Source organism: Homo sapiens, chromosome 19, assembly GCF_000001405.40.
Source record: "Homo sapiens chromosome 19, GRCh38.p14 Primary Assembly".
Classification (NCBI taxonomy): Eukaryota; Metazoa; Chordata; class Mammalia; order Primates; family Hominidae; genus Homo; species Homo sapiens.
Window position 1 is genome coordinate 42081912 of NC_000019.10, and position 27747 is coordinate 42109658.

The 27747-nt window shown below is 49.7% G+C and overlaps 1 protein-coding gene across 31 annotated transcripts in view; it reads right to left on the reverse strand.

Moving 5' to 3' along the window:
• Positions 4199–27747, reverse strand: part of POU2F2 (POU class 2 homeobox 2) — a 111827-nt gene continuing 88278 nt past the window's right edge. For 9 of the 31 annotated variants that reach the window (XM_047438955.1, XM_047438954.1, NM_001393934.1 and 6 more), the window contains 10 exons: positions 17805–17910; positions 17616–17707; positions 14171–14284; positions 13877–14018; positions 13634–13782; positions 13375–13551; positions 11918–11984; positions 10158–10359; positions 9956–10029; positions 4199–9680 (listed from right to left, as the gene is read on the reverse strand). In XM_047438955.1, coding sequence (XP_047294911.1) covers positions 9346–9680; positions 9956–10029; positions 10158–10359; positions 11918–11984; positions 13375–13551; positions 13634–13782; positions 13877–14018; positions 14171–14284; positions 17616–17707; positions 17805–17910 — 1458 coding nt within the window. In that variant the 3' untranslated portion in view covers positions 4199–9345. Of the gene's footprint in view, positions 10360–11917; positions 11985–13374; positions 13552–13633; positions 13783–13876; positions 14019–14170; positions 14333–17615; positions 17708–17804; positions 17911–27747 lie in introns of all 31 variants that reach the window. The other 22 variants (XM_047438963.1, XM_047438966.1, XM_047438964.1 and 19 more) reach the window with 8 other exon arrangements.

Consider the following 27747-nt stretch of genomic DNA (forward strand, 5'->3'; position numbering starts at 1 on the left):
CCCAAGAGCAAATGCAGGTAGGCATGATCTCTAGAGCTGTGGAATTAAAGGAGATTCTGAATAATATGTGTCTGGATGTAGGAAGATTCATGAGAGGTGGTGACTTGAATTCCCCTGGAGTTGGACTTTGGCTCAGCCAACAGATTTTTATTGTGAGTGATGGATTGTTGGGATGGCTGGCTAATGTTTGAACATCTAGTCAGTCTCAAGTACTATATAACTGAATAATATTCACACTGATTACGTGAGAACATTTTGCAGGGAAGGAATCTCCAGTCAAAAGCATTGAGATGACTTGCCCAAGGTCACATTCAATCCAGGCAGGGCAGAGCTTGAATTTAAGCCTGATTTCATTTCATTTGGTTTAATCACCGATATGCTTTTCTCTCTACTCTGTTGCCTTCTGCATACTTTGGGGAGGGTGGTAGAGACAAGATGGGAGTATGTGACTGGTGGGATGCTAGGCTGCTGTGCTAGCCTTGCTTCTGAGACCCCCCCCCCCAAAGATTATTCCAGATCTTTCTGTTGAACTCTTTTTCCTTTTTATTTTTGAGTTGGAGTCTTTGCCGCCCAGGCTGGAGTGCAGTGGTGTGATCTCGGCTCACTGCAGCCTCCACCTCCCAGGTTCAAGCGTTTCTCCTGCCTCAGCCTCCCGAGTAGCTGGGATTATAGGCGCGTGCCACCACACCCGGCTACGTTTTTGTATTTTCAGTAGAGACGGGGTTTCACCATGTTGGCCAGGCTGGTCTCAAACTCCTGACCTCAGGTGATCTGCCCACCTCAGCCTCCCAAAGTGCTGGAATTATAGGCATGAGCCACTGTGCCCGGCCTGAAAGAACTCCTTTTTTAAGACAGGGTCTCACTGTATCACCCAGGCTGGAGTGCAATGGCACGATCTCGGCTCACTGCAACCTCCGCCTCCTGGGTTCAAGCAATTCTGCCTCACCCTCCCAGGTAGCTGGGATTAGAGCTGCGCACCACCATGCCAGGCTAGTTTTTTGTATTTTTAGTAGAGACAGGGTTTCACCATGTTGGTCGGGCTGGTCTTGAACTCCTGACCTCAGGTGATCTACCTGCCTCAGCCTCCCAAAGTGCTGGGATTACAGGCATGAGCCACCGCGTCTGGCCTAAAACAAATTCTAATAATTGTTCTTGTAAAATAAATGACATAACATTTGAAAAGTTAATGTATTAGGGTTCTGTTTATACAAAAAAAAAATCAGGTTATGTGCGTGTGTGTGTATGTGTGTATCCTACCTGTTATATGTATATAAATTACACAATAGATACAGTAAATAATATATATGTATATAAAGATTTTTTTATAGTTTGTTTTACTCTATAGACATACAAACATACATTTTAATGTTTATATACATATATATAGTTCCAAATCCTAGGATTTGGAGTATTCTTTTTAATTAAGTTCTAGGGCACATGTGCAGAACATGCAGGTTTGTTACATAGGTATACACATGCCATGGTAGTTTGCTGTACCCATCAACCTGTCATCTGCATTAGGTATTTCTCCTAATGCTATCCCTCCCTAGCCCCTCACCCTCTGACAGGTCCTGGTGTGTGATGCTCCCCTCCCTGTGTCCACATGTTCTCATTGTTCGGCTTCCACTTAAGAGTGAGAACATGTGGTGTTTGGTTTTCTGTTCCTGTGTTAGGTTTTATTTTTATCTTTTTATTAAAAATGGGGTCTTGCTGTGTTGGCCAGGCTGGTCTCAAACTCCTGGCCTCTAGGGATCATCCCATTTTGGCCTCCCAAAGTGCTGGGATGAGAGGCATGAGGCACCACACCTGGCCTGTTTTTTTCTATTTTTCAGAGTCTCGCTCTGTCACCCAGGCTGGAATGCAGTTGCACAATCACAGCTCACTGCAGCCTCAACCTCCTAGGCTCAAGTGATCCTGTGATCCTCCTGCCTCAGCCTCCCAAGTAGCTGGAACGACAGGCGAGCACCACCACGTCTGGCTACTTTATTTTGTAGAGATGGCGTCTTGGGTTCTGTTTGGTTCTGACTGTGCCACCTTGAAGATGGGCCTGAACCAAATGATCTTCCTCCATGTACTATTTTTATGTCCCATCCCTGTTGATTTGTTTTGAGAGTTGAGGGGCTTTGCTTTCTTTGTCTTGCCAAAACACTGCAATGCTGACACTTTTTGTCTTACTAAATATGAAACCTGTCTTTCACTCTATTCCTTTTTCCTGTGCCTCAGTTCCCCCAACCCTCACTATCGACTTTGCAGGATCCCAGCACCTGTGTGCCAAGCATACATTAGAGGATGGAACAGTGCTGAGGAAACGCAACAGCTTTTTTTTTTCCTGAGATGGAGTCTTGCTCTGTCACCCAGGCTGGAGTGCAGTGGCACAATCTTGGCTCACTGCAACCTCCACCTCCCAGGTTCAAGTGATTCTTCTGCCGCAGCCTCCCAAGTAGCTGGGACTACAGGCGTACACCACCACGCCCAGCTAATTTTTGTATTTTTAGTACAGACGGTTTCACCATACTGGCCAGGCTGGTCTCGAAGTCCTGACCATTATAATGATCCACCTGCCTTGGCCTCCCAAAGTGCTGGGATTCCAGGCGTGAGCCACCATACCTGGCCCAATTTTGTTCAATTTTTGTAGAGATGGGGTCTCACTGTGTTGCCCAGGCTGGTGTCGAGCTCCTGGGCTCAAGGGTTCTTCCTGCCTTGGCCTCCTAAATTCTAGGGTTACAGGCATGAGCCACCACACATAGCCTGTTTTTTTTGTTTGTTTGTTTTTGAGACGGAGTCTCGCTCTGTCGCCCAGGCTGGAGTGCAGTGGCACATTCTCAGCTCACTGCAAGCTCTGACTCTGGGTTCATGCCATTCTCCTGCCTCAGCCTCCTGAGTAGCTGGGACCACAGGCGCCTGCCACCATGCCCAGCTAATTTTTTGTATTTTTGGTAGAGACGGGGTTTCACCGTGTTAGCCAGGATGGTCTTGATCTCCTGACCTCGTAATCCACCCGCCTCGGCCTCCCAAAGTGCTGGGATTACAGGCCTGAGCCACTGCACCCGGACTTTTTTTTTTTTTTTTTTGAGATGGAGTCTCGCTCTGTCGCCTGGTCTGGAGTGCAGTGACACGACCTCAGCTCACTACAGCTTCCACCTCCCGGATTCAAGCTATTCTCCAGCCTCAGCCTCCCGAGTAGCTGGGTTACAGGCGTGCGCCACCACGTCCGGCTAATTTTTGTATTTTTAGTAGAGACGGGGTTTCGTCATGTTGGCCAGGTTGATCTTGAACTCCTGACCTCAGGTGATCCGCCCGCCTCGGCCTCCCAAAGTGTTGGGATTACAGGCATGAGCCACCGCTCCCGGCATTTTTGTTTGTTTTTGGGTGTTTTTTTTTTTTTTTTTTGCATTTTTTTGGTGATGTGAAAAAATGACATATAACTCTTCTGTTAATTTATTTGACTATTTGTGAGGTTGAAACTTTTTAATGTGTTAATTGAAACTCTGGTTTTAAAGAGTCTCTTTAGTCCTCTGGGGAAGCATCCAGGGATGGAAATGGAGAGGTATTTGCTGGTTTCCTGGCTTTCTCATAGTTCTCATATATTGAAGACAGTGTGCTGGAGCTCAGTCCTAAGCACTTTACTTAGACCATCATCCTACAACCTTGTGAGGTAGGTATTGTCCCTTATTTACAGATGAGGACACAGAAGCTCACATATTGAAGGTCATATATTTATAAAATGGCAGAACTGAGATTTGAATTCAGAAGTATGAATTCATCCTAAATTCAAAGACTTGGTTCTTTGGCAAGAACATTTGTGCAGGTTTTACTTCCAAACATTCACTATTTTTTAAAATTTAATTTTTTTTGTTTTTGTTTTTTTTGTTTTTTAGACAAGGTCTCTCTCTGTTACCCAGACTGGAGTGCAGTGGCACGATTACGGTTCACTGCGGCCTTGACATCCCGGGCTCAAGCAATCCTTCCACCTCAGTCTCCCAAGTAGCTAGGACTAGACAACAGGCACATGCCACCATGCCGAGTTGAGTTTTTGGGGCTTTTTTAGAGAAGAGTTCTATGTTGCCCAGACTGTGAACATTCACTATTGGAACAGAAGTAAAACCCTCCCCTCCCCAGCATACAGATCTCCAACCCCACACCCTGATTTCTTCACCACTCTTCCCAGGACAGAGAGGAGACCAAGGGAGAGTAGGCATCATTTCTCTCTGTACAGTTTTTAATTTTTTATTTTTTGATGTTTGTTGTTCAGATGAATGACACACTCAAGTTACAAAAATGGGGCCTTAAAAGAAGCACATTGTACAATGAACAAGCAGATTGGAGTTAAGAACACTGAAACACTAACCCGCTACCACGAGAAGAGACGGAGGGGGTACAGGAAGGGAAGGAAGGGGCTACCAACACAGGGGTCAGACGGAACTGAAAGGGAGGCTAACTTGGTAAGGATGGAGGAAAGGCAGGTCTACTCCAGGGCTGATTTCTGGATGCCGGTTCCTGGGCACCCTTGCCTTGTACTTGCCACCCCCTCCAACTTCACCCACCCCCATTCCAACCTGGTCATTCTGGGTGGTGAAAGACACCCACACCAGAATGGGCTGCGCCAATCAGGTCTTTACCAAGTAGGGTGGTCACCTTGCCCTAGTGCAGCCCTGGATTTGGAAGGTGATGGTGGAAGCAGTGGGACAAGAGGCCAGAAAGGAGTTGAAAGTTCAGGCCCCTGCTCTTCCCAAAGACTCCTCGCCCATTCCCCACCCTGCCATTATCCAAAGGCTCTCTACGAGTTGCCGAGAGAGGCCCCCAGTCACCCTGCAATTATATAAATAAATAAATACTGAGCCCCTGGGTTTGGGGGACATATTGGGGGAGGGGCAGCAAGGATAGAGGACAGGAAAGAGAGGAAGGGGAGGGAGGCAGAAGGGAGGGGTCACAGACATAGTAAATAGTTGTCTCCATCCCAGCAACACTTCTCTCTGGATTTTTCTCTCCTTTTGTTTGTTTAACAAGGAGCTAACAATTCAAGGACAAATACTTAAAAATATACATTATTTTTTCTTTGTTTCCGCCTTTGTCATCGTCGTCTTGCTTTGGAGACTGCTGAGGTCAAAGTTTAAACCGCATGAAGGACTTGCGGCTTGGAGTTTTTGTGTATTTTTTTTTATTTTTATTTTTAATTTTTTTTCACTTTTTTTCCAACATATAAAAAGGTAGCGGAGTTGTCTGTGGGTTTTTTTTTTTTTTTAAATGGTTAAATCTTTGGTTTGTTTCTTTTTTCTCTTGGAGGCCTTTATCTCTCGCACTTGCCTTTCCCACTCAGAGACCAGTGGGGGCCCGCGTGTCTCAATCTTGCTGTCTGTCTCACTCTCTCTCTCACTCAGGTCCCCCTACCCTGGGCTAGAGGAAGAGAGAGGCACCCTGGTGTTCATGTGGGTTAGAAAAACTAGTCAGGTCAAGAGGTCACCCTGACTTGGCTAGTCCCTCGCCAGATCTCCCCAGGGCTTGGAGAGCCCGTCATGGCCTTCTCCAGGGAGATGGATGGAAAACTCATATCCTTCCCCTCCTCCTGATCTCAGCCCCAACTCCTACTGGGGCTTGGGTTCCCCATCCCTACCCACCCCCACACACACACCCACCCCACCCCCCAGAAGAGAACAGAGAGAGGTGGTTTAGTTACTGGCATCAATTTTTTTTTTTTTTTTTTTGGCACAATGAAAAGGCCCACCATTAGGGTAGACCCAGTCTCTGTCCCTCCCTTAAGTAGGAGGTCAGGGTTGGGGAGAAGAGAAATTCAGAGGGCTCCCCACTGCTCCAACCCACTCATCTCTCCTCTCTTTCTAGCCCAGGCCCTTGGCCCCCAACCTCGGACATCTAACCTAGCCCATAGCCTAGCCTGGGGTTGCCCTCCCCATCCCCCACATAAAGCTCCCCAGCCCTCCAACTCTCTCGCTCATACACAGACACACGGACACAGGCTCTGTACAGACCACAAAATAAAAACGATGAGATAGTTTTGTTTCCCGGAGTCGAGACGGGGGACCAGAGTGTAAGGGGCAGATGGGGGTGGGGGGCATGAATTCCCCCATCACCTTCCCAACCCTGGCTCCCTCCAGCCCCCCAGCCCCTTGCCCTGGCTGGCCCCCAGCCAACGATATTTGGTTTCCTTTTTTTAACATTAAAGTTCTATGAGGTATTTGGTGCCTTATCTCGAGTCCTCAGGGGAGGGGGGCCCAGGGGGAGACCTGGGGCTCACCTGCCCCTCCCTCCCTCCTACCCCCTTCCCAATATTTGGTTTCACAGCTGTAGTTAAAGCTTGGGATTTGGTTATTTTTCCCCCTCCCAGGAATTTTTTTTTCTTGTTTTTCTTTTCCTAGGTGTGAGGGTTGGATGGGGAGGGTCCCCAGCACCCCCGGCTGCACAGGGGTCCCTCCACCAACATCAGGGCATCTGCCCCATCCCTGCCCCCTGCTCCTCCTCTCCTCTTTACCCCACTCCCACATACTGGGGTGGGGAGAGGTCCCAGGTGGTGGGACTTGATGGGGAGGAAGCAGGATGAAGTGGGTGGTGGTGAGTCCTGGATTTTCTTTCCTTTTTTTTTTTTTTTTTTCCTTTTTGGTCTAGAATCATAGTTTTTGTTTGAGTCATCTCCACCATGCCTTCCATGCTGCCTGTCTTCTCGGAGGGGGTTTTTGGTTGTAATTCCTTTCATTTTGCTCTGCTCAAATGTCCTTCCTATTTGGTCAGGAGCCCTTGGCCCCCTCTCCACCCTTGGGCTGGGGCCCAAGCCCTCTTGCCAGTCCCTTCTCTCTTCAGGAAATAAACATGGACAAACTCAGAGGTAGGGTAAGGGCAGGGAGTCGTTCAGCGGAGATGCTTACATTCCGGTGAGGTTGGGTAGACGAGGTGCCAGGCCCCATCGTGCCGGGGTGGGAGGGGCGGCTACTTCACCACTGCCCGGACAAGGCACCCAGAGGCCCCTGCAATGGCCGAGTCTCTGCTGCCTCCGTCGCCCAGCCCAACAGTTTCATTTCCCGGGTGGGAGAAGGGAGACAAGGAAAAAAGAGAACGCTGAGGCCTGGAGCTCCATCTGCCTCTCCTCAGAGTGTCCGGCAGAAAGTGGAAGCTGCCCAGGCCAAAGCCCTGCGGTCTCAGGGCTCTCCTCTCTCTCTGCTCCTGCCCAACAAGGGGCAGGGGCCACACTACGGCTGTCAGGCCCCACCCTGATTTCAATGGCTCGTGTCCTTCACTGCAACACTTTGGTTTGAGGAGAGACACAGAAAGAACAAGATTGAGAGAGAAGAGAGGAGAGCAAAGGGAGAGAGAGGAGACAGGAAGGAGGAGAGGAGAGAGGAAGGAGGGGAGGAGAGAGGAAGGAGGGGAGGAGAGAGGTCAGACAAAAGAGAACCGAAAAAGAAATCAAAGGAGGAATCAAACCACCCAAAAGTTGTTAAGTTTTCCTTCATCTGTTCTTTTTGCTTTCTTACTCCTTTTTTTCCTGTCTTTTTTTAAAGCTTTTTCAGTTGATTTGGGAGGGGAGTTTGGGGCTCTTCACCCCTGTCCCTGATACCCTCTCTCAGCCCCGCCCACCCGCTTCCATCTGCCCTGGCCGAGGGACAGGCCCTGCCCCAGCCGCCCCCTCCGGCTTTCCCAAAGACAACGTCCATGAGGTATTTGTGAAGAGAAAGAAGCATCCGTCCTTCCATCCGCCTTGGGGAACAAGGGCCTGGACCACCGGTGCAGGGGCTTGGCTCCGCCTCGCGGTTCCATCTTATTCTTGAAGAGTCCTCATCTTCTTTCCCTTTTATATATATATATATATATATGTTTATATATATATATAAATTTTTTTTCTAGTTTAAATTTATTGTTTGTTTGTTTCTGTTTTTTTGGTTTTCGGTTCAAAACTTTGTTGGCCTCCACAATAGCAGGAGGGCAGGGTGGCTCCCAGTGGTGTCTCTCCTCTGTCCGTCGTCAGTGGAGACGTGTCCGGGGCTGGTCAAACACAGGGTCCAGCCAAGAGTTGTGGAGGTCTTGTGGGAGTGGTGGCCACCACCGCGCCCTCTCAGATGGGGACCACAGGCTGTGGCACTGTCCCCACCACATGGACCCTGATGGGGATGCCATCTCGAGGAACCCCACCACTGGGGTGTGTGCGTGCGTGCATGTGGGGGGAGGGAGAGGCATTCGCCAGTACCAGAGGGGCACAGGGTGGGAAAAGCGAGGTGAGTTCTCTTTTTGGTTTCTGGTTAATGTCAAAGAACGTGAAGGATCCCACGGATAGGCACTGGAATATGAATTTTTTTTTTTTTCAGGGAAACAGACAGGATGGAAAAAGACAACTGAATGCCCTCAACTGAATGTCTTCATCCCCTCTTGCCTGAAATTTCCACCTTCCCATAGGCTGGGGAGGGAGTCAGTTCCAGAGCAGAGGAGGGTGACAGGGTTGAGGAGGGACTTGTGAGAGCTAGAACTTGGCAAAATGGCCTAGCCCACCCTTCAAAGGGGAAAAGAGGGAGGAACAGGGGATGAAAAGTTGTCCGCAGGCCTTCCCTTGAACTCTCCCCTGCTGGGGGGAGGGAGGAGGTTAAAGCAAGACCCCCTGCCCAGGTGGGGAGAGCTGGGGGCCAGGGGAGAAGGGGACACATGGTAGGGACACATTCTGTTGAGCACAATGCTAAAAATTCTGTACATCCTTTGGATGAAGCTACTGAATATTTGGTGTAAGGTTGTTCAGGCCCTTTCTCTTTCACCTTCTGGAAAAGAACATTTGGTGGGTGGTGCTAAGCCCCAGCCCATCTGCCCAGGCTGTGCCCTGTCTTCGCTGGCCCAGGGCTGGGGGCTGGGATTAGGAAGCTGGCATCTTCTCTTTTTCCTTCTGTAGCCCCCACGGGGGAGGCAGGGTTGGGGGTTGGTCCCACAGCCAGGGCTCGGTGGCATGAGGTCTGACCTGCTGGAGGCTTCTCCGCCCCTGGCTGGGGTTTTTATTTGGCGTCGTAGCAGTGAGGGTGAGCACGCTGAGGTCTGGCTCGCGACTGGTTTTTTGGTTTGTTTGATTTTGTGGGTTTTTTTTTTTTTTGGTTTGTTTTTGGTTTTTTTTTGTTTGTTTTTCACCTCTGGTTCCTTTGGGGCAGCTGGTTTCTGTTGTGATTATTTTTGGTTTTCTCTTTTGTTGGTTAGTTTCTTTCCTTTTTTTTTTTTTTTTTGGTTGGTTGTTTTTTTGGTCTTTCCTCCCTTGTCACTCCTGCTCTGAGGACCCTCTGCGTCCCCACCACTGGCCTCCTCGCCCTCTTCCCAGGCAAGGGACCAAGGCAGGGACCAGAGGAATGGGAGGGGAGGCATGGCTGGCCCTCACTCAGGTTTGGACCCTGCCTCGGGCCCCCCTGGACCTCCAGGGGTCTGTGCTGCCGTCTCGCTGCAAGTGGAGGAGGAGGAGGATGAGGATGAAGAGGATGAGGAGGAGAGGCCAGGAGACTTGCTGGAGATGGAGGCTGCCACAGCCGCAGCCGCTGCTGAGACCAGGCCCACACCAGGCGGGGTGCTGAGCAGGGGCAGCCCAGCATGATTCAAGAAGAGCGGCGAGGTCACCAGGCCAGGGCTCCCCGGGGCTGCACCGGCTGCCCCCAGCACCAGATTCCCGCTGCCATCAAGGCTGGTAAGGGGCAGGGTTCCACCAGAGGCCAGGGCTGGCGGGGAGAGAGAGAGGCTGGGCTAAGGGCATGCCGGGCCAGGGGAGACCTTTGCCTTCCAGCATCCTGCCCAGAGTGCCCCCCATCTCCCCATCGGTCCCACTGACCCCCATCAGCACCCCTCACACCTTCCCCAAAGGTGAGATGGGTATGAAGAGGCAAGCAATGCAGTGAGCAGGGGCAGGATGGCATGGCTGGAGCAGCAATGGCAGGGCTCGAGGCCCCAGAGGATAGGGCTGGTGACGATGGGTGTGACATGAGGCAGCACGCACCTTGGATAGTGGCCAAAGGGTTGTTGCTCATGAGGGCTGGACTCAGCCCGGAGCTCAACCCCACCATTGTGCTTCTGCAAGAGGCAAAGCAGAGGCATTAGCAGGGGCAGGGACCTGCCAACATAACTGGGGTGCCGCTCCCCACCCTAGAAGCAGCAGCGACCCTGCTTCTCCCCACAGCTTCCCACGTGCACCCACTTACCCCGTGCTGGGGTTCAGGCCTGACAAGCCGATAGCCGAGTGGCTGCCTTGAGGGCTGGGGTTTGTGCTGTTGGTGGTGGCCGGGGGTGGGGGAGTGACAGAGGGGATGGAATTGAGGGGGGGCGCAGCCCCGCCCCCGCCCCCACCCCCTCCAGCTGTCCGGCTGGGGTGGAGCGTCCCCACAGCTGAGGATAAGGTAGTAACTGCCAGAGAGAGACAGAAAGATGGGGTCTTCAGCTTCCACTCGTCCCCCACTGAGGAACCTGGGGTCAGCTCCTACTTGTCCTCCCGCCCAGCTCACGCAGCATCTCCTCAGTCAGAACAGCCTTAGACCTCCCTGCCCTCTCTTCCCAGAGTCATTTCCCTGTGCCTCTGCCATGGTGACCCCTGTCATAACAATGGAAGTCAGAGCAGGTGCTTCCTGCTGAGCCCTGGCACTCTACACTCCCTGCCCTGAACCACTTTTTTACCGACTAGAAACGGGGGTGCCCAGGAGACAAAGCCCTATGGCTCCCTCTAGGGGCTGGGGAGGGGCGAAGGGTGCCAGGCACACTGCCACATCTGAGGGATGGGCAACCTGGCAGGGGCTGAGGGCCCAGACTCAGCCAGACTGCTGGGGTAGAAACTCCTGGCTCTGTCTCATCCCAGTGGTGCCCTTGGGTGAGTGCCTTAACCTCTCTGACCTTCAGATCCCTTGTCTGGAAAATGGGGATAATAATAGACCCTATCTCATAAAATGAGTTTGAGAATTAAGTCAGTCAATGCAGTTTAGAAAGAGTTTAGTACAGTGCCAGGCAAGCACTTACTACTTTATAAATCTCCACTTACTATTTTCTAGCCTGGGGAGGGGCAACGTGTTGTTTTATGTGTATATATATTATGTGTATATATATTATGCATATATATATTATGTGTGTGTGTATATATATATATATATATATATTTTTTTTTTTTTTTTTTTTGAGATGGAATCTCACTCTGTCACCAGGCTAGAGTGCAGTGGTGTGATCTCAGTTCACTGCAACCTCCTCCTCCCGGATTCAAGTGATTCTCCTGCCTCAGCCTCCCGAGTAGCTGGGATTACAGACACACGCCACCACGCCCAGCTAATTTTTGTATTTTTAGTAGAGACAGGGCTTACCATGTTGGCCAGGCTGGTCTCGAACTCCTGACCTCAGGTGATCCACATGCCTTGGCCTCCCAAAGAGCAGGGATTATAGGCATAAGCCACCACACCCAGCGAATTTTATATTATTATTATATATATGGTGTATAACCATACATATAAACCTACCGTGTCCCAGGAAGAGGGAGGGGAACTCTGGATACAAGACTATGTATGTATGCATGTATGTGTGTATATGTACATACACATACACTCTTACATACATGTATTTATATCTTTTTATGTTTTACACATTCATAATAATTTAATAAAAACTGAGGCTTAGAAGGATAAAATAAGTGCTTGAATTCACACAGCTTAAAAATGACAGAGGCCAGGCACAAAACTCAAGTGCCTCACCTTTTACCAGGCCCATGCTTTTCTCATATGAAATCGTGAAGCAGATTAAAGCTGAGTTGCTCCTGCAGAGGAGGGGTGAGTCCTACCCTCTTCCCACTGTCTCTCCCATTCCCCCACCCACACTCCCCAGGCCCAGTCTTGAGGCCCATGGACACCCAGAGCCACTTGGGAACCTCAGGCTCCAGCCTGTGCCACATCCTCCCAGTCCCCCCTCACCATTTTCTGCCCTCCCTGACCTGTTGTGCTCAGACTGCTGGAAGCTTGGGACAACGGTAAGGTCCCCGCGCCCCCTTGGGGTGTGACCTGAGGAGAGAAGAAAGGAGGTGTGGTTAGCCACTGTCTGCCAGCAGCCCCCGTGATGCTCCCTGTAGGACCCCACTCCTCCGTCCCAGGATGGGGGCAGGGGGCTTTGGCACAATGCTGCATTTGTATTATTCCACATGCTTTCTTCACACTTGCCCTAGCTGATCCTGAGCCACAAGCAGGAAGGGCTAATTCTCCATTGAGAACACTCCCCACCTCTCTTCTGACACCGCCCCATCTGGCTAGTCTTTGCAGGGTTGTGTCCTGTCTGAAGTGACTGCACCGGAAGAGTGGCTGCTCCACATGCTCCTGATATTGTTGGTTCTGCAAAACTAAAACTCTTTTCCCTGGACAAGCAAACACCACCCTTTTACCAGTGGGGTTGGCAAGCAATGCAGGAGAGACTGTTCAAAGTGACCCAGGCAGGGAAAGAGCAGATCTAAAGTGCGAGGCTAAATGGATGCATATCTTTGCATCGGGGTGTTGAGATGTCATATTACTTGATTTTCTGGGACCATCAGCTTCCTTCTTGGCCACCCCACCTCCAGTCTCACCTTTGCATCAGCCCCAGAAACCTCACTAAATGTGACTCTCTCCTTCCCCAGCTCAAAACCACTCCTTACCTCCTCACTGCCCATGGTTCAAGTTCCAGCTCTTCACTGTAAAACTTGGGGTACATGCCCCCACTCCTTCCCCAACCTCATTCATATAAACTGCAGCACCAACCACACTAAATTGCACTGGAGTTTCTCAAATTGGGCTGGGCACACCCTGGCTTCTAGGCCTTAGTACACACTGGTCCAGGAAGGCTCTTTGCCTTCTTGTGGCTGGCTAACTCTCCCTTGTCCTTTAGAACTCAGTTCAGACAGTGCCTCCTTCACACCGATGGGGGCAGGGGCTCCTCTCTGGAGCATCACAGCTCTTCCCAGAAATGGAAATAAAAGGATGGGATAAAGGATGTCCCAGCTGTGTCTGATATCAAGTGGGCCTGTGTATAGCTGTGGACCTGAGAGTACACCCATGGGTGTGACAATTTCCCCGAACGGCAAATAAGTGCCTCTCCCTGCCTCTGTGTGGTTGTGAGCCTGTGTGTTCTAACCTGGACCACGTCCCTGGACATATATCCCTTCCTGTGTGGCTATGGCACTGTGATAACTCTGTGTCTGGCTATGTCGGTGTGTATCTAGGGGTGCTTGTATCCCCCATGTAAGACCACAGTTCCCTGGAAACCGTCCCTGTGTAACTGTGCCCATCTACGTGATGGCCTGTCTCCAAGAGTGACTCTTCTTGTCTCTGTTCTAGGCTCTGTGGACAACCAGGTAGGGTGGGCTTCACACAGGTGCCTGCGGAGCTCTGTGGTCTCCCCACCCCCCAGGCGGGCTCTTGGTACCATATGGGGGCTGTAGCTGGCCGGCTTCCCTGGGCTGGGCAGCATGGGGGCCGCACTGCAGGGGTTGATGCGTTTCTCCTTCTGGCGCCGGTTGCAGAACCAGACGCGGATCACTTCCTTCTCCATGTGCAGCTGCTCGGCGATCAGCAGGATCTCCTCTGAGGTAGGCTTCTGGTTCTGCAGGCAGAGGGCTCGTTAGCCCGAGGCCCACCGCCCGCCACCCCTCAGGTGAGGGCCACCCAGGAGAGGGGGGCCTCACCGCTAGAAAACTCTTCTCTAAGGCGAAGCGGACGTTTGTCTCGATGCTGGTCCTCTTCTTGCGTCTCCGGCCGGGCAGGCCGTCGAAACCCAGGCTGGGGCTGCTCAGCTGGTTGGGGCTGGGCAGGCTTGAGTCCACAGACATAGTCTCTGTGCGCCGGGGGAGACGTGAGCATGAGAAGGGGCCTCCCGCGGCCAGCGGCCACTGCCCGCCCCCTACGCGGGAACCCCAGCCTGGTCCCACCTGCATCGTTGAGCCACTTCTCCAGGAGGGGCTTGAGTTTGCACATGTTCTTGAAGCTCAGGTTGAGGGCCTCGAAGCGGGAAATGGTCGTCTGGCTGAAGTCGTTGCCGTAGAGCTTGCCCATGGCCAGGCCCACATCACCCTGGGCCAGTGGGGCGGGGAAGGGCCCGAAGTCAGGGTGGGGCCTTCCGGCACTGGGCCCGCTCCGCCCGCCCACTGGCCACGCCCCTCGCGGCATCTATCAACTGGCCACGCCCCCACGCCCACCGCCCAGCCTGCAAGGTGCCTCCAGACCTGCGTGAAGCCCAGCTTGATGCGGCGTTGCTTGAAGGTGCGGGCGAATTGCTCCAGCTCCTCCAGATCACTGGGCTCCTCGGGGTGGGATGGTGGCTCCAAGCATTTGGGGGGCTGCGGGTGCGAGAGGTGCGGGTCGGGCAGCGTAGGGCGGGTCACGGCCTGGTGGGGTGGGCAGGTGGGTGGGATGCAGGGCGGAGGACCAGGATGGGGCTCAGCGATGGGTGCACAGTCCCCCTCCCGCCCTCTTCGCCCCTGCGTTCCATCCGCCGCCTGCAGACTCCCCCCGCCTTCCTCCACAAGCACCGTCAATCCCTTTAAAGGTCCCTCCACATGCACTGTTAATCCCTTTAAAGGTCCGACTCTGCTGCCCTACATGGGTTTCCTCATTGCCTGGGACTCTCTGCACTGTCCCTTCACGCCTGCGAACTCCCAGAAGGAGCAGCCAGCTTTTTGTGCCAGGGCTCTTTCCCTGGAGCTGGAGGCAGTGGTTCATCCTCATCTCAACCTGGGAATCAGGGACTGGCCCTGCCACCAAATCACTGCTTAGCCCAGGCCTCACTTTCCCCCTCTGCAGGATGGGAACAATCACTGCTGTTCTGTCTACCCAGTGGGGCTGTTGAGAGAATCGGGTTAAAAATGAGTAGGTCGTGCAGACCCATGGACTGTACAATGCCAAGAGTGAACCCTAATGTCAGCTATGAACTTTGGGTAATAGTGATGTGTCAATGTAGGTTCATCACCTGTTACGCTTGTACCACTCTGGTTGGGGATGTAGATGATGCAGGAAGCTGTGCATGTGTAGGGGCAGAGATAGATGGGATATCTCTATATCTTCCACTCAGTTTTGCTGTGAATCTAAAACAGCTCTTAAGAAATTAAGTCCTAAGCAATGAGTAGATTGCAAATAAAGTAAAAGTTAAGAAAAAAAAAAAAGGACTGGGAGGGCAATTAGAGAGATTTACAAAAAAGCAACAGCTCTATCTGGGATTCTTCATTGCCCTAACAATAAAGGATATGAAGCAGGTGGTGGGTACAGGGATGTTTGTCGCTCAGGTCCTTTATCCATTATTCTCCAAAATGCTGGGGCAGATGTTTAGGAATTTTTCAGTTTTTTTTTTTTTTTTTTTTTTGAGATGGAGTTTCACCCTTGTTGCCTAGGCTGGAATGCAATGGTGCGATCTTGGCTCACCATAACCTCTGCCTCCTGGGTTCAAGTGATACTCCTGCCTCAGCCTCCCGAGTAGCTGGGATTATAGGCATACGCCACCACACCCGGCTAATTTTGTATTTTTAGTAGAGATGGGGTTTCTTCATGTTGGTCAGGCTGGTCTCGAACTCCCGACCTCAGGTGATCCACCCGCTTTGGCCTCCCAAAGTGCTGGGATTACAGGGGTGACCACTGCGCCCTGCCTTTTTTTTTTTTTTTGGTATAAATTTAAGGACAGCCGAGTGCAATGGCTCACACCTGTAATCCCAATACTTTAGGAAGCCAAAGTGGGAGGATCGCTTGAGCACAGGAATTTGAGACTAGCCTGGGCAACATGGCGAAACCCTATCTCTACAAAAATTTTAAAAATTAACCAAGCATGTGGGGCGTGACTGTAGTACCAGCAACTCAGGAGGGCTGGGGACTGCTTCACTTGAGCCCAGGAGGCTGAGGCTGCAGTAAGCTGTGATCACACCACTGCACTCCAGCCTGGGTGACAGAGTAAGACCCTGTCTCAAACAAAAAACAAAATGTTAAAAGATACAAGTGCAATTTTGTTACACAAATGTATTGTGTAGTGATGAAGCGTAGGCTTTTAGTGTATCCATCACCCAAACAGTGTACATTGTACCCATTAAGTAATTTCTCATCATCCACCCACTCTCACCCCTCTCAGGTTTTGTTGTTGTTGTTGTTTTAGAGACCAGTCTTGCTATGTTGCCCAGGCTGGCCTCAAACTCCTGGGCTCAAGTGATCCTCTTGCCTCAGGCTCACAAGTAGCTGAGACTATAGGCATGCACCACCGTGCCTGTTTCAGTTTTCAGAAAACCTACATAGGCAGCCAGGCACAGTGGCTCATGCCTGTAATCCGAGCACTTTAGGAGGCCGAGGCAGGTGGATCACCTGAAGTCAGGAGTTCGAGACCAGCCTGGCCAACATGGTGAAACCCCATCTCTATTAAAAATACAAAAATTAGCTGGGTGTGGTGGCGCATGCTTGTAATCCCAGCTACTTGGGAGGCTGAGGTAGGAGAATCGCTTGAACCTGGGAGGCAGAGGGTGCAGTGAACTGATATTGAGCCAATGCACTCCAGCCTGGGCAACAGAGCGAGACTCCATCTCAAAAAAAAAAAAAAAAACAAAAAGAAAGAAAGCCTACATAGGATGTATATCATAGATAATGTGGCCCGGCCCCCACCCCCACTAGGGTCAAGAATATTACTCCTTAATCAGATACAGTAACAGTTTTGCAGCAGCAAAAATGCCATACCAAGAGGGACAAAGAAAAGTCATACACTGGCTTATATCATGGCAGGGCAGGTTTTGCAGTCAAATGAGTTCTCATGCCAATGGTGGAAGAACAACTTGACTTTCTGAGCATTTGGGATTTCAGAACTGCAGTTAAGACCTGTATTAGTCTCTAACTCTTCAGTCAGTCCTTCTGAAATAGTTCACATATATTTTTTTAAAGGGCTATAAAAAATGGGTAGAAAAAAACTTTGAAATTCATAAAAGGTAGTGAAAATTATCATTAAAGTCTAGAACTCAGGCAGCAAACTGAAAGAAAGGCCTCGGGGTCCAGGTGCCAAGGTGGCCTGGAGAGCTGGCACCCTCTCTAAGGGGCCTCTGCTCCTGCCAGTGGCCAGGCCAACTGCTCACTGCGCCAAGCCACCACGTAGACACAGGTACAGCCCTGCCAGATTTTCTGGTTTATCAAGAGGAGCTGGAAATGTGGTGCTTTCTGGGAATTTAGTTGACAATGACCAAATAAAAGACACCTGTGGGCCTTGTTTTCAGTCTCCAGTCTGGGAAGTGGATGTGAAATAATCACCTAACGAATGCCTTGTTCAGAGAATCCTCCGTTGCAGTGCTGGAAGAGGCCCGAGGCATTTGCAGCCTAAAGGCTTGCAGCCCCTTGCAATTTTGTGTGTTTTTACACATGAGCATTTTGGGGGAATGGGGATCAGATCTAAATCTTTCATCATATTCTCAAAGGAGCTCATGTACTAGAAAGGGTTAAGAACCACTTGTCTGGGCCAGCTCCCCTCATTCTATAGAGGAAGAGGCTGACCCAGACAGGGAGATGGGCTTGCCTGAGGTCTCACAGCAAATCACTGGCAGAGTGTGGCTGGGTCAAATGGAAAGGAGACTCTCACTCATCCCCCACCCCCGTTTACCCAGCTTTCAGCAGGCCTTGCTGCTGGCCTGGCCTGGTGCACTCAATGGACAGTCTCACCTGTGTGGGAAGCCCGGCCCGGGGCTGGGAGGTCAGAAGAGCTCCCTGGGTTTGCTGAGGTAGCTGGAATAGATTTGGTGTCGGTAGCAGGCCTGGAAAGACAAGGGGAAATACACAGGGTGAGGGGGAGGGGAAGGTGAGGAAGTTCTGTGGAGGCGTCAGGGAGGCCATCTGGGGTGGGGGCCTTACCTGGCTGGCTCTGCTGGGCCTGCGGTAGCAGGAACTGAGCAGGTGGCTGGAGGTGGTGGCCTGGCACAAGCACCAGCTGCTGGAGCTGGAGGAGCTGCTGTATGTCCTGGCAGGGAGTGGGGTGGACAGAAAGATAGCCTGAGTCCTGGCTGGGTTTCATCCTCTCTGCATCACCTGAACCTTGAGGGGCTGAAACCAGGAAGCTGCTCCACATGGCGATCTGGCACTGGGCAGTGAGGGATCGTCCACTCGGTCTCTGAATGGCATCCCTGAGCTAAGGGCACCCAGAGGCTTCTCTCTACCATGGGGTACCAGAGAGTCCCAACTGGGCAGTCCTGGGAGGGCTCACTCTTTATTTACCCTTTCTTTCTTTTTTTTTTTTTTTTTTTTTTTTTTTTTTGAGTCTCGCTCTGTCGCCCAGGCTGGAGTGCAGTGGTGTGATCTCGGCTCACTGAAATCTCCGCCTCCTGGGTTCACGCCATTCTCCTACCTCAGCCTCCCAAGTAGCTGGGACTACAGGTGCCCGCCACCACTCCCAGCTAATTTTTTGTATTTTTAGTAGAGACAGTTTCACCATGATAGCCAGGATGGTCTCAATCTCCTGACCTTGTGATCTGTCCGCCTTGGCCTCCCAAAGTGCTGGGATTACAGGCGTGAGTCACCGAACCCGGCTACCCTTTCTTTCTTGATGAAATATTTTCCTTGTTTTAACATTTCCGCAGAACAAATAGAATCATTTAAAAATGTAAGCCAGGCCGGGTGTGGTGACTCATGCCTGTAATCCCAGCAATTTGGGAGGCTGAGGCAGGCGGACACACCTGAGGCCAGGCGTTTAACACCAGCCTGGCCAACATGGCAAAATCTCGTCTCTACTAAAAATACAAAATTAGCCAGGTGTGGTGGTACACGCCTGTAGTCCCAGCTACTCCGGAGGCTGATGCAGGAGAATTGCTTGAACCTAGGAGGCATAGGTTGCAGTGAGCCGAGATCACGCCCCTTCACTCCAACCTGGGTGACAGAGCAAGACTCTGTCTCAAAAATAAATAAATAAATAATAAAATTGTAAACCAGACCAGGTCTTTCCTCCTTTAAAAACACTCCTGGCTGGGCACGGTGGCTCACACCTGTAATCCCAGCAATTTGGGAGGCCGAGCCAGGCGGATCACGAGGTCAGGAGATCGAGACCATCCTGGCTAACACAGTGAAACCCTGTCTCTACTAAAAATACAAACAATTAGCCAGGCATGGTGGCACACACTTGTAGTCCCAGCTACTCAGGAGGCTGAGGCAGGAGAATCGCTTGAACCCGGAGGCGGAGATTGCAATGAGCTGAGATCATGCCACTGTGTCTCTGCACTGCAGCCTGGGTGACAGAGCAAGACTCTGTCTCAAAAAACACAACAAAACAAACAAACAAAAAACACTCCCAAGGCAAATGATTTCATGTCTGGAATTAGCTTTAAAATACTCCAGCAAATAGTGTAAATTAGTACAACCACTCCGGGAAGCTCTTTAGCACTGTTATAGGTTGCAGTGTCTCCCCCCACTCCCTGCCACCCCCCAAAAAGGTAAGTTGGAATCCTAACCCCCAGAACCTCAGAGATTAACCCTATTTGGAGATAGGGTCTTTGGCAGATGATCAAGTTAAAATGAGGTCATTAGGGTGGGCTCTAATCCTATATGACTTGTGTCCTTATAAAAAGGGCAAATTTGGACATAGACATGGATAACGGGAAGATGATGTGAAGAGACACAGGGAAAAGACAGCCACGTGCAAGCCAAGGAGAGAGGCCTGGAACAGATCTCTCCATCACAGCCCTCAGAAGGGACAGATCCTTCCCTCACAACCCTGCTGACAGCTTGATTTCTGACTTCCAGCCTCAGAACTGTGAGGCAATATATTTACCTCAAGTCACCCAGTTTGTGGTTCTTTGTTTTGGCAGCCCTAGCAAACTAATATAGGCGCTATCTAAGAAAACTGGCTGGGCTTGGTGGCTCATGCCTGTAATCCCAGCACTTTGGGAGGCTGAGGCGGGAGGATCACGAGGTCAGGAGTTTGAGACCAGCCTGGCCAACATAGTGGAACCCCGTCTCTACTAAAAACACAAAAAATTAGCTGGGCATGGTGGTGGGTGCCTGTAATCCCAGCTGCTTGGGAGGCTGAGGCAGGAGAATCGCTTGAAGCCGGGAGGCGGAGGTTGCAGTGAGTTCAGATTGCGCCACTGCACTCCAGCTCGGGCAACAGTATGAGACTCCATCTCAAAAAAAAAAAAAAAAGAAAGCTGAACATACACCACCCTTAGGACCCAGCAACTCCACTCCTGCATGTAACCCACCATACATGTGTATGTGTTTACCACAAGACATGTACTACAATGTTCACGTGGACCATTTGAAATAGGCAGGACTTGAAGATAGCCCAAGCGCGCACAACAGTAGAATGGGTAAAGAAACTGTTTCAGTGGAAGCTACAGCAATGAGAATGAGCAGTCCACAAGTCATGGTTACATGCCACAACGTAGACTTCCCAAACATAATCAGTGAGAGAGCTAGTCATGACAGAGAACATCCTGTACGATTCTAATGGTTGAAGTTTGGGGAGTAAAGACTGAAAAGGGACACCAGGGGGCTTCTGGGAGCTGGCCACATTATTTCTAGATCTGGGTACCAGTTCCATGGGTGTGCTCACAGCTGTATACCTATGATTTGTGCACCTTTATATATGCATTATATTTTAATAAAAGTATTTTTTAAGACAGGGCCAGGCACAGTGGTATGTGCCTGTAATCCCAGCACCTTGGGTGGTTGAGGCAGGAGGACTGCTTGAGGCCAGGAGTTCAAGACCAGCCTGGGCAACATAGTGAGACCCCCATCTCAAAAAAAAAAAAATCTTGTTTGTATAGTGGTGAGTAAAAAATAAAGTAAAATAAAGGGAAAAAAGGGGGGATGAGGTAGGGAAAGAGGGAGGGGAAAAAAAATCCAATCCTCCACCCACCAAAAAAAGTGAGGGGTTTAGATGAAATCCTATTTGCCAATAGGAAGGGCAAAATGTTGATATCTATTGAGCTTGGTGAAGAGTATGTGGGGTTCATGACATAATTCTCTCTACTTTTACGTTTAAACATTTCTGAAAGAAAAAGCAAAACCGCTTTACACACACAATCCAATGGCTTCTCATAGCCCTCAACAATGCAAACAAAACCCCTCACCTGCCTACAAGTCCCTTTATACTGAGGCCTGTGTTCATCTCCCTGCTCATCTCCCACTGCCCTATCCCTCCTTGGCTGTGCTCCAGCCATTTAGCCCTTTTCTGTTTTTTTTTTTCAAATGCACCAAGCTTGTTCCTGCCTCAGGGCCTTTATACATGCCGTTCCCTCTCCTGGGCAGTTCTACTTCTGACACTAATGCCTGGATCCTAACACAAAGTCACCCTCTCAGAGATGCCCTCTTTGACCACCCAGTCTATACCAGCCCCTGGCCTGGCCTCCCCTTATCACCCCATTTCATCTCCCTCACAAGGCTTAACACCATCTCCAGGCATCGCTCCTCCTGTTTACTCATTCATGACATGCCCCTCTCACTGGAACGTCAGCTCCATGAGAGCATGATCTTGACTGTTTCAGTCACTGCTGTATCCTCAGTGCCTAGAACAGCACCTGGCACCCAGTAGGTGTTCCACATAGATATGTTAATGAACCAAGACTGATGCTTCATCATTTACTTGGCAAATTTTATGTAAAGTTGAAAGCTATAACATGTTACTTACAATTTTTTCCTTCTGGGAAATTGTGGGGGTTGGCACATGCCCCTCAATTCTTCCCAATGCTATTATTCCTAAAGACCAATTTGATGTGCCAGGAAGTGAACAAACTGGGAAAATATATAAGCAATTCAACAGAAGGGGCTCGTTTCTTTTTTTTTTTTTTTTTTTTTTTGAGATGGAGTCTCACTCTGTTGCCCAGGCTGGAGTGCAGTGGCACCATCTCGGCTCACTGCAAGCTCCGCCTCCCAGGTTCACGCCATTCTCCTGCCTCAGCCTCCCAAGTAGCTGGGACTACAGGCGCCCGCCACCACGCCTGGCTAATTTTTTTGTATTTTTATTAGAGACGAGGTTTCACCGTGTTAGCCAGGATGGTCTCGATCTCCTGACCTCGTGATCCGCCTGCCTCGGCCTCCCAAAGAGCTGGGATTACAGGCATGAGCCACCCTGCCCAGGCCAGAAGGGGCTCATTTCTTTAATATACAAAGAGAGATTTTGCAAATAACTCTATATAATTAAAGAAGAAGAAAAAAGTAGTGATTACAAATCCATAAGTAAAAAACTGACAACCCAGTAGTAATGTGGCTGACAGACAGGTCTGGAGAGTGCCCAGTGAAATTAATGTGAACAGCTCTGGATGGAAATACACTCAGATTCACTCGCAATAAGATAAACACGACTGCAATTGCACTGAGATATCATTTTTACCTCTCAGATCACCAAATATAAAAATAGTGTGTAATACCACATTGGGGAGTGTGGGGAAACACACATTCTTGTACATGCTGGTGAGAGGGTGATTTGGCAATGTCTATCAAAATTACAACTGCACACAGCCTTCAACTCAGCCATTCTACTGCTAAAAATTTATCTATTCTCACTCTAGAAGGCTGGGAATGGCCTTCTAGAGAGGTGCAAAATGACCTCTCTAGAAGGCTATTCCCAGCAGCAAGTGGCATTCTGGCAAAAGAGTAGAAGGTAGCTGAGCATGCAGCAAGACAGGATGGGTTGGATGAATGAGGGCAGAGCTCTACAGTGGAATACTATGCAGTCACCAGCAAGAATGAGGAGTCTCTTTGTGTCCTGACATGGAACAATCTGCAGGATGTCCTGTTGAGTGGAAAGCTCAAGAGGCAGAACAGAGGGTATGAGGTGGTACTGTTTGTGTCACACACAAAAAAAGAGTATATCTGGATATTTGCTTGGGTATGCATAGTTGATGTCTGGAAAACCATACCAGAAGGCCACGCTGTAAATCCATTCATACCTCTGGGATTTGAAACATGTACCTGGTCTGAGTAAATAAATATCCCAGTGTCTCACCCCCACCCACCCAAACAGTCACTGCTGATCAACATCCCTGCTTTTCGACAGCTGAACACTATTCCCTGACCCCCTGGGGGTGCCTCTGCTTATTCCGTGTATGGCAGTGGACTGGGTACTCCTGTGCTCCTGACCTCTCTAACTCTTGCTGCTAATCATCTCAGAATCCAGCTTAAGGGTTCTGAAGTCCTAGCACTCTATCCTGTGAAACAATGTCCACCCTGCCTTCCCTTTCCCAGCTACCCCCAGCCCAGTAACACCTCCATGGTCACCTCCCTCCAGATGTGGATCAACTGTGAAGCGGGCAACACTTATGCTTCAGGGCCCCCCATTTACAGTGAACCCTTTCAAGGCCCCATACCTAATTTTTGTTTCAAACATTGTCTTTTTCTTTCAAAGGGACTCCAAGTTGCATAATCTTTTGGCCCCACAAAACGAGACCCACCTGCCCTGTGCTACACGTCTCCCAAGTCAATGCATTTGCTTATGTGTACTTTTCCTCTGCCAGACTGACTCTAGCAGACCAGAGGCATATCTTATTCTTCGTATATCCCTAACTCATATCGGAACCTGGTAAGCCCCCATTAAATGCCCACTGAATTGAATCTAATGAATAAGACTAGAAATCAAGTCTTATTACCAGCATTTTTCTGATTTCCTATAACCCTTAGCTTGTTGATTAAAGTATTTGTTAACTCCTGTTCCTCCCTAGCATGACTCTCAATGAAAATTCCCCTTTCCTCCAGAAGCCTAGAGAGGTGTCTGTGGGTTTCGTTCTGAATCACCAGCGAGAGGAAAGAATGGGGAAAGTGCATCCCAGTTTGCAGAAGGTCTCATGGTGAGAAGTTCAGATGGGAAACATTTAATCACATCCCTGTCTAGTTTCTCAGACCAGAGACTTAGGGGTCAGCCTTAATCCCACCTTCCCTTCCTCTCCCCATCCATCCAATCCATCTGCAATGCAAGTCTTCCCAGTTCCCTCTACATCTCTTCCTGTCCACAGTGACTGTCCTGGTCCAAACCACCATCCTTCTACCCCAGACCATCCATTCGCCCCCAGGCAGGCAGAGAGGGGTCTAAAACAATAGAGGTCTAAATGTTTTTGTGCCCTGAATTCTTCAGCATCTGAAAAAAAAAAAAACCTATTGCCCTCTTCTCAGAATTAAAAACACATAACATATGATATATAGGATCTTTCTTTTTTCTTTCTTTCTTTCTTTCTTTCTTTCTTTCTTTCTTTCTTTCTTTCTTTCTTCTTTCTTTCTTTTTCTTTCTTTTCTTTCTTTCCCTTCTCTCTCTCTCTTTCTTTCTTTTTTGAGATGAGATGGAGTCTCCCTCTGTCACCCTGGCTGGAGTACAGTGGCTCAGTCTTGCTTGGCTCACTGCAACCTCTGCCTCCCGGGTTCAAGCAATTATCCTGCCTCAGACTTCCAAGTAGCTGAGGCTACAGGTGCACCCACCATGCCCATGCCCAGCTAATTTTTGTATTTTTAGTAGAGAAGGGGTTTCACCATGTTGGCTAGGCTGGTCTCAAACTCCCGACCTCAGATGATCCACCCACCTCGTCCTCTCAAAGTGCTGGGGTCACAGGTGTGAGCCACCATGTCCAGCCAGATATATAGAATTTCAAATGAAATCAATCACATAATTATAGTCATCATCACTAGGGACTCCAAAGGGAGGGAGAAGGGCAAAGGCTGAAAAACTTCCTACTGGGTACTGTGTTCACTACTGGGTGACAGGAACAATTATACCCCAAACCTCAGCATCCATGCAATATAACCCTTGTAACATACCTACACATGTATCCCTGAATCTAAAATAAAAACTGGCTGGGCACAGTGGCTCATGCCTATAATCCCAGCACTTTGGGAGGCTAGATGTGAGAATCTTTTGAGCCCAGGAGTTTGAGACCAGCCTGGGCAAGATGGCAAGACCCTGTCTCTACAAAAAGAAAAAAACAAGAAGGAGGAAGAGGAGAAGGAGGAAGAGGAGGAGGAGGAGGAAGAGGAGGAGGAGGAGAAGGAGGAGGAGGAGGAGCAGGAGGAGAAGGAGAAGGAGAAGGAGGAGAAGGAAAATTAGCCAGGCATGGTGGTGCATGCCTGTGGTCCCAGCTACTCAGGATGCTGAGGTGGGAGGATCCCTTGAACCCAGGAGTTTGAGGTGGCAGTAAGCTATGATCACACCATGGCACTGCAGCCTAGGCAACAAAGGGAGACACCCGTCTCCAAAAAACAAAATAAAATAAAATAAATTAATTAAAATTTGGCTGGGTGCGGTGGCTCATGCCTGTAATCCCAGCATTTTGGAAGGCCAAGGCGGGCGAATCACTTGAGTTCAGGAGTTTGAGACCAGCCTGGCCAACATGGTGGAACCCCATCTCTACCAAAAAAATACAGAAAAAAAATTAGCCAGGTGTGGTGGCGGGCGCCTGTAGTTGCAGCTACATGGGAGGCTGAGGAAGGAGAATCACTTGAACCCAGGAGGCAGAGGTTGCAGTGAGCTGAGATCACACCACTGCACTCCAGCTCGAGCAACAGAGTGAGACTCCGTCTCAAAAAAAATTAATTAATTAAAATTTAAAAAAATATAGGCATCAAACATATTTTGAGTGGTCATAAAATCATTTATGGGTTTCTTTATTAGCACACTAAGTAACAAGATCCAGCAATAGATCTGATGACTACTGTAATTTCAAAGCAATCATGAGTGAAAACAGTGTTTTGAGAGATCTGCAACAACTATAAGAGAATTTGAAAATCTGCGTACATTCTCTTGGTGACAAAGTCTCAGTACCGCTAATACTACTGTTGTCTGTTGTCTATATTCATGATAGAGGGACATGCTATGGTTTGGTCAGAAGATAGTAAAAATTGAGATGTAATTTTTTTCCCATCCAAGTTCATGGACTCTGAATTCTATGCACAGACTCTTCTAGGGGTGGTCTATGGAGTCCAAGTCCCTGTTTTAAAATATAAATTAAGCCATAAGGCCTCTACTGATTTTCATCACATTTGTGGTATAATCCAGATCCAGGCTATGGTCCTGCATGGCCTGCCCACCACCCCCGCTTACCTCTCCTTCCTTGCCTCACACAACTCTAACTCCCTAACTCTGATCCAGCCCCACTGATCTCCTTCCTGTTACTGAACCACAAAGAAGTCCCCACCTCATACCTTTGCTATACCCTTTCTAGATCTACACAGAGGTGGTCCCTCCTCATCATTTAAGTCTCCATCAAACGCCCCCTCCCTAGAGAGGCCTTCTCTGGCCACACACTCTTATGAAGTCTTCTTTTTCCTCCAACACTCTCTATTACACTCTTTTCTTTCCTTCATAGCAATTATCTGCTTCCTGCCTATCTCCCCAACTACAGCGGGTGTCAGCTCCAAGAGGGCACAGACTTATCTACCTCATTCCCCGCTATATCCTCACCCAGAAAGGCACTTGGGCATGGTGATATTCACTAAATATTTGCCAACTAAAGGAATGAAAGAAGGGGAGAAAGATGATGGGGCATGGTGGCTCGCACCTATAGTTCCAGCACTTTGGGAGGCTGAGACAGGTGGATTGCTTGAGCCCAGGAGTTCCAGACCAGCCTGGGCAACATGACGGGGTCTCTACAAAAAATCCAGGCATGGTGGCACGTGCCTGTAGTCCCAGCTACTCGGGAGACTGAGGTGGGAGGATGGCCTGACCCTGGGAGGTCAAGGCTGCAGTGAGCCATGGTCACGCCACTGCACTCCAGCTTGGGTGACACAGAGAGACCCTGTCTCAAAATAAAACAAAGAAAAAAAAAGAAAGAAAGGAGAGAAGACAAGATTCTGGGTGAACAGGAACAGTAAGTTGGCTCAGGACTAGGGTAAGCCGGTAGGAGGCGCCATTTCTCCACAATCCAGCGGCAGCATGGCCCTCTGAAGCCACTTGAGGGCGTGTTACGTCCGAGTCAGAGCACACCAGTCAGAGGGTGGAGAAGGTATAGTAAGTGGAGACAGGCCAGAGAAAAGACCCTGGCTGGCATATTTTGTAGATCAGCTGCTCTGTCCCTAAGCTTTAAGGAAACCTAGCACAAGAGCTAGCATGCCTGTGAAAGCTGAGAAGGGACGGTACCGATTCTTGCTCATTGCTGTATTTTGATCACCCTCCCAGTGCAGGAGCCTCATAGGTGATCAATACATTTTCAATGAATGAATGAGGTGAAACCTCAGGACAGACTGGCAGTACTTTGCCATAGCTGGGACTTTGGCTATGACTGGGGGCAGAAAGGTTGATATGTGGATTGCAGGATACATGGGTGAATTGCCCACTTTCCTACCAGGGCTCAGTTCCACCTGGGGGAGAAGAGAAAGCCATGACAGTGAACTTGAGGAGTTCACTGAGGAGGAGCCCCAGAGCCGGCCGGCTGCAACGGCCCAGGTGCTGCACCTCACTCCAGTGCACAGGCCAGACGGCCCATCCCCCATGGCCTCTCGCGCCCCCATTAGAGGCCTCCACACAATCTCTGGCAGCCACCATGACTGGAATGGTGTTGGCGCATGAGTTGACATTCCTTTGCCATCCCTGATATGGCAAATTGTGACCAGCTCTGGATCTTCCCTCTCTAAGACAAGTTAAGTCCAGAGTAGGGGAGAACAGGAAGGAGTGGGGTCTGGGAACTATGTAAACTATATCGTGATAGATTGTGTTCAAAATGAGGAAGGGAGGATGGATGGGGAAAGGGAAGGCGGACAACGGACACAGTTTCAGTGAGATAACAGGAATACATTCTGGTGTTCTATTGCACGGTGACTACTGCTAATAATGTACTGCATATTTCAAAATATCAAAGACAGAGTTTTAGTTTTAGTTTTTGTTTTTTAA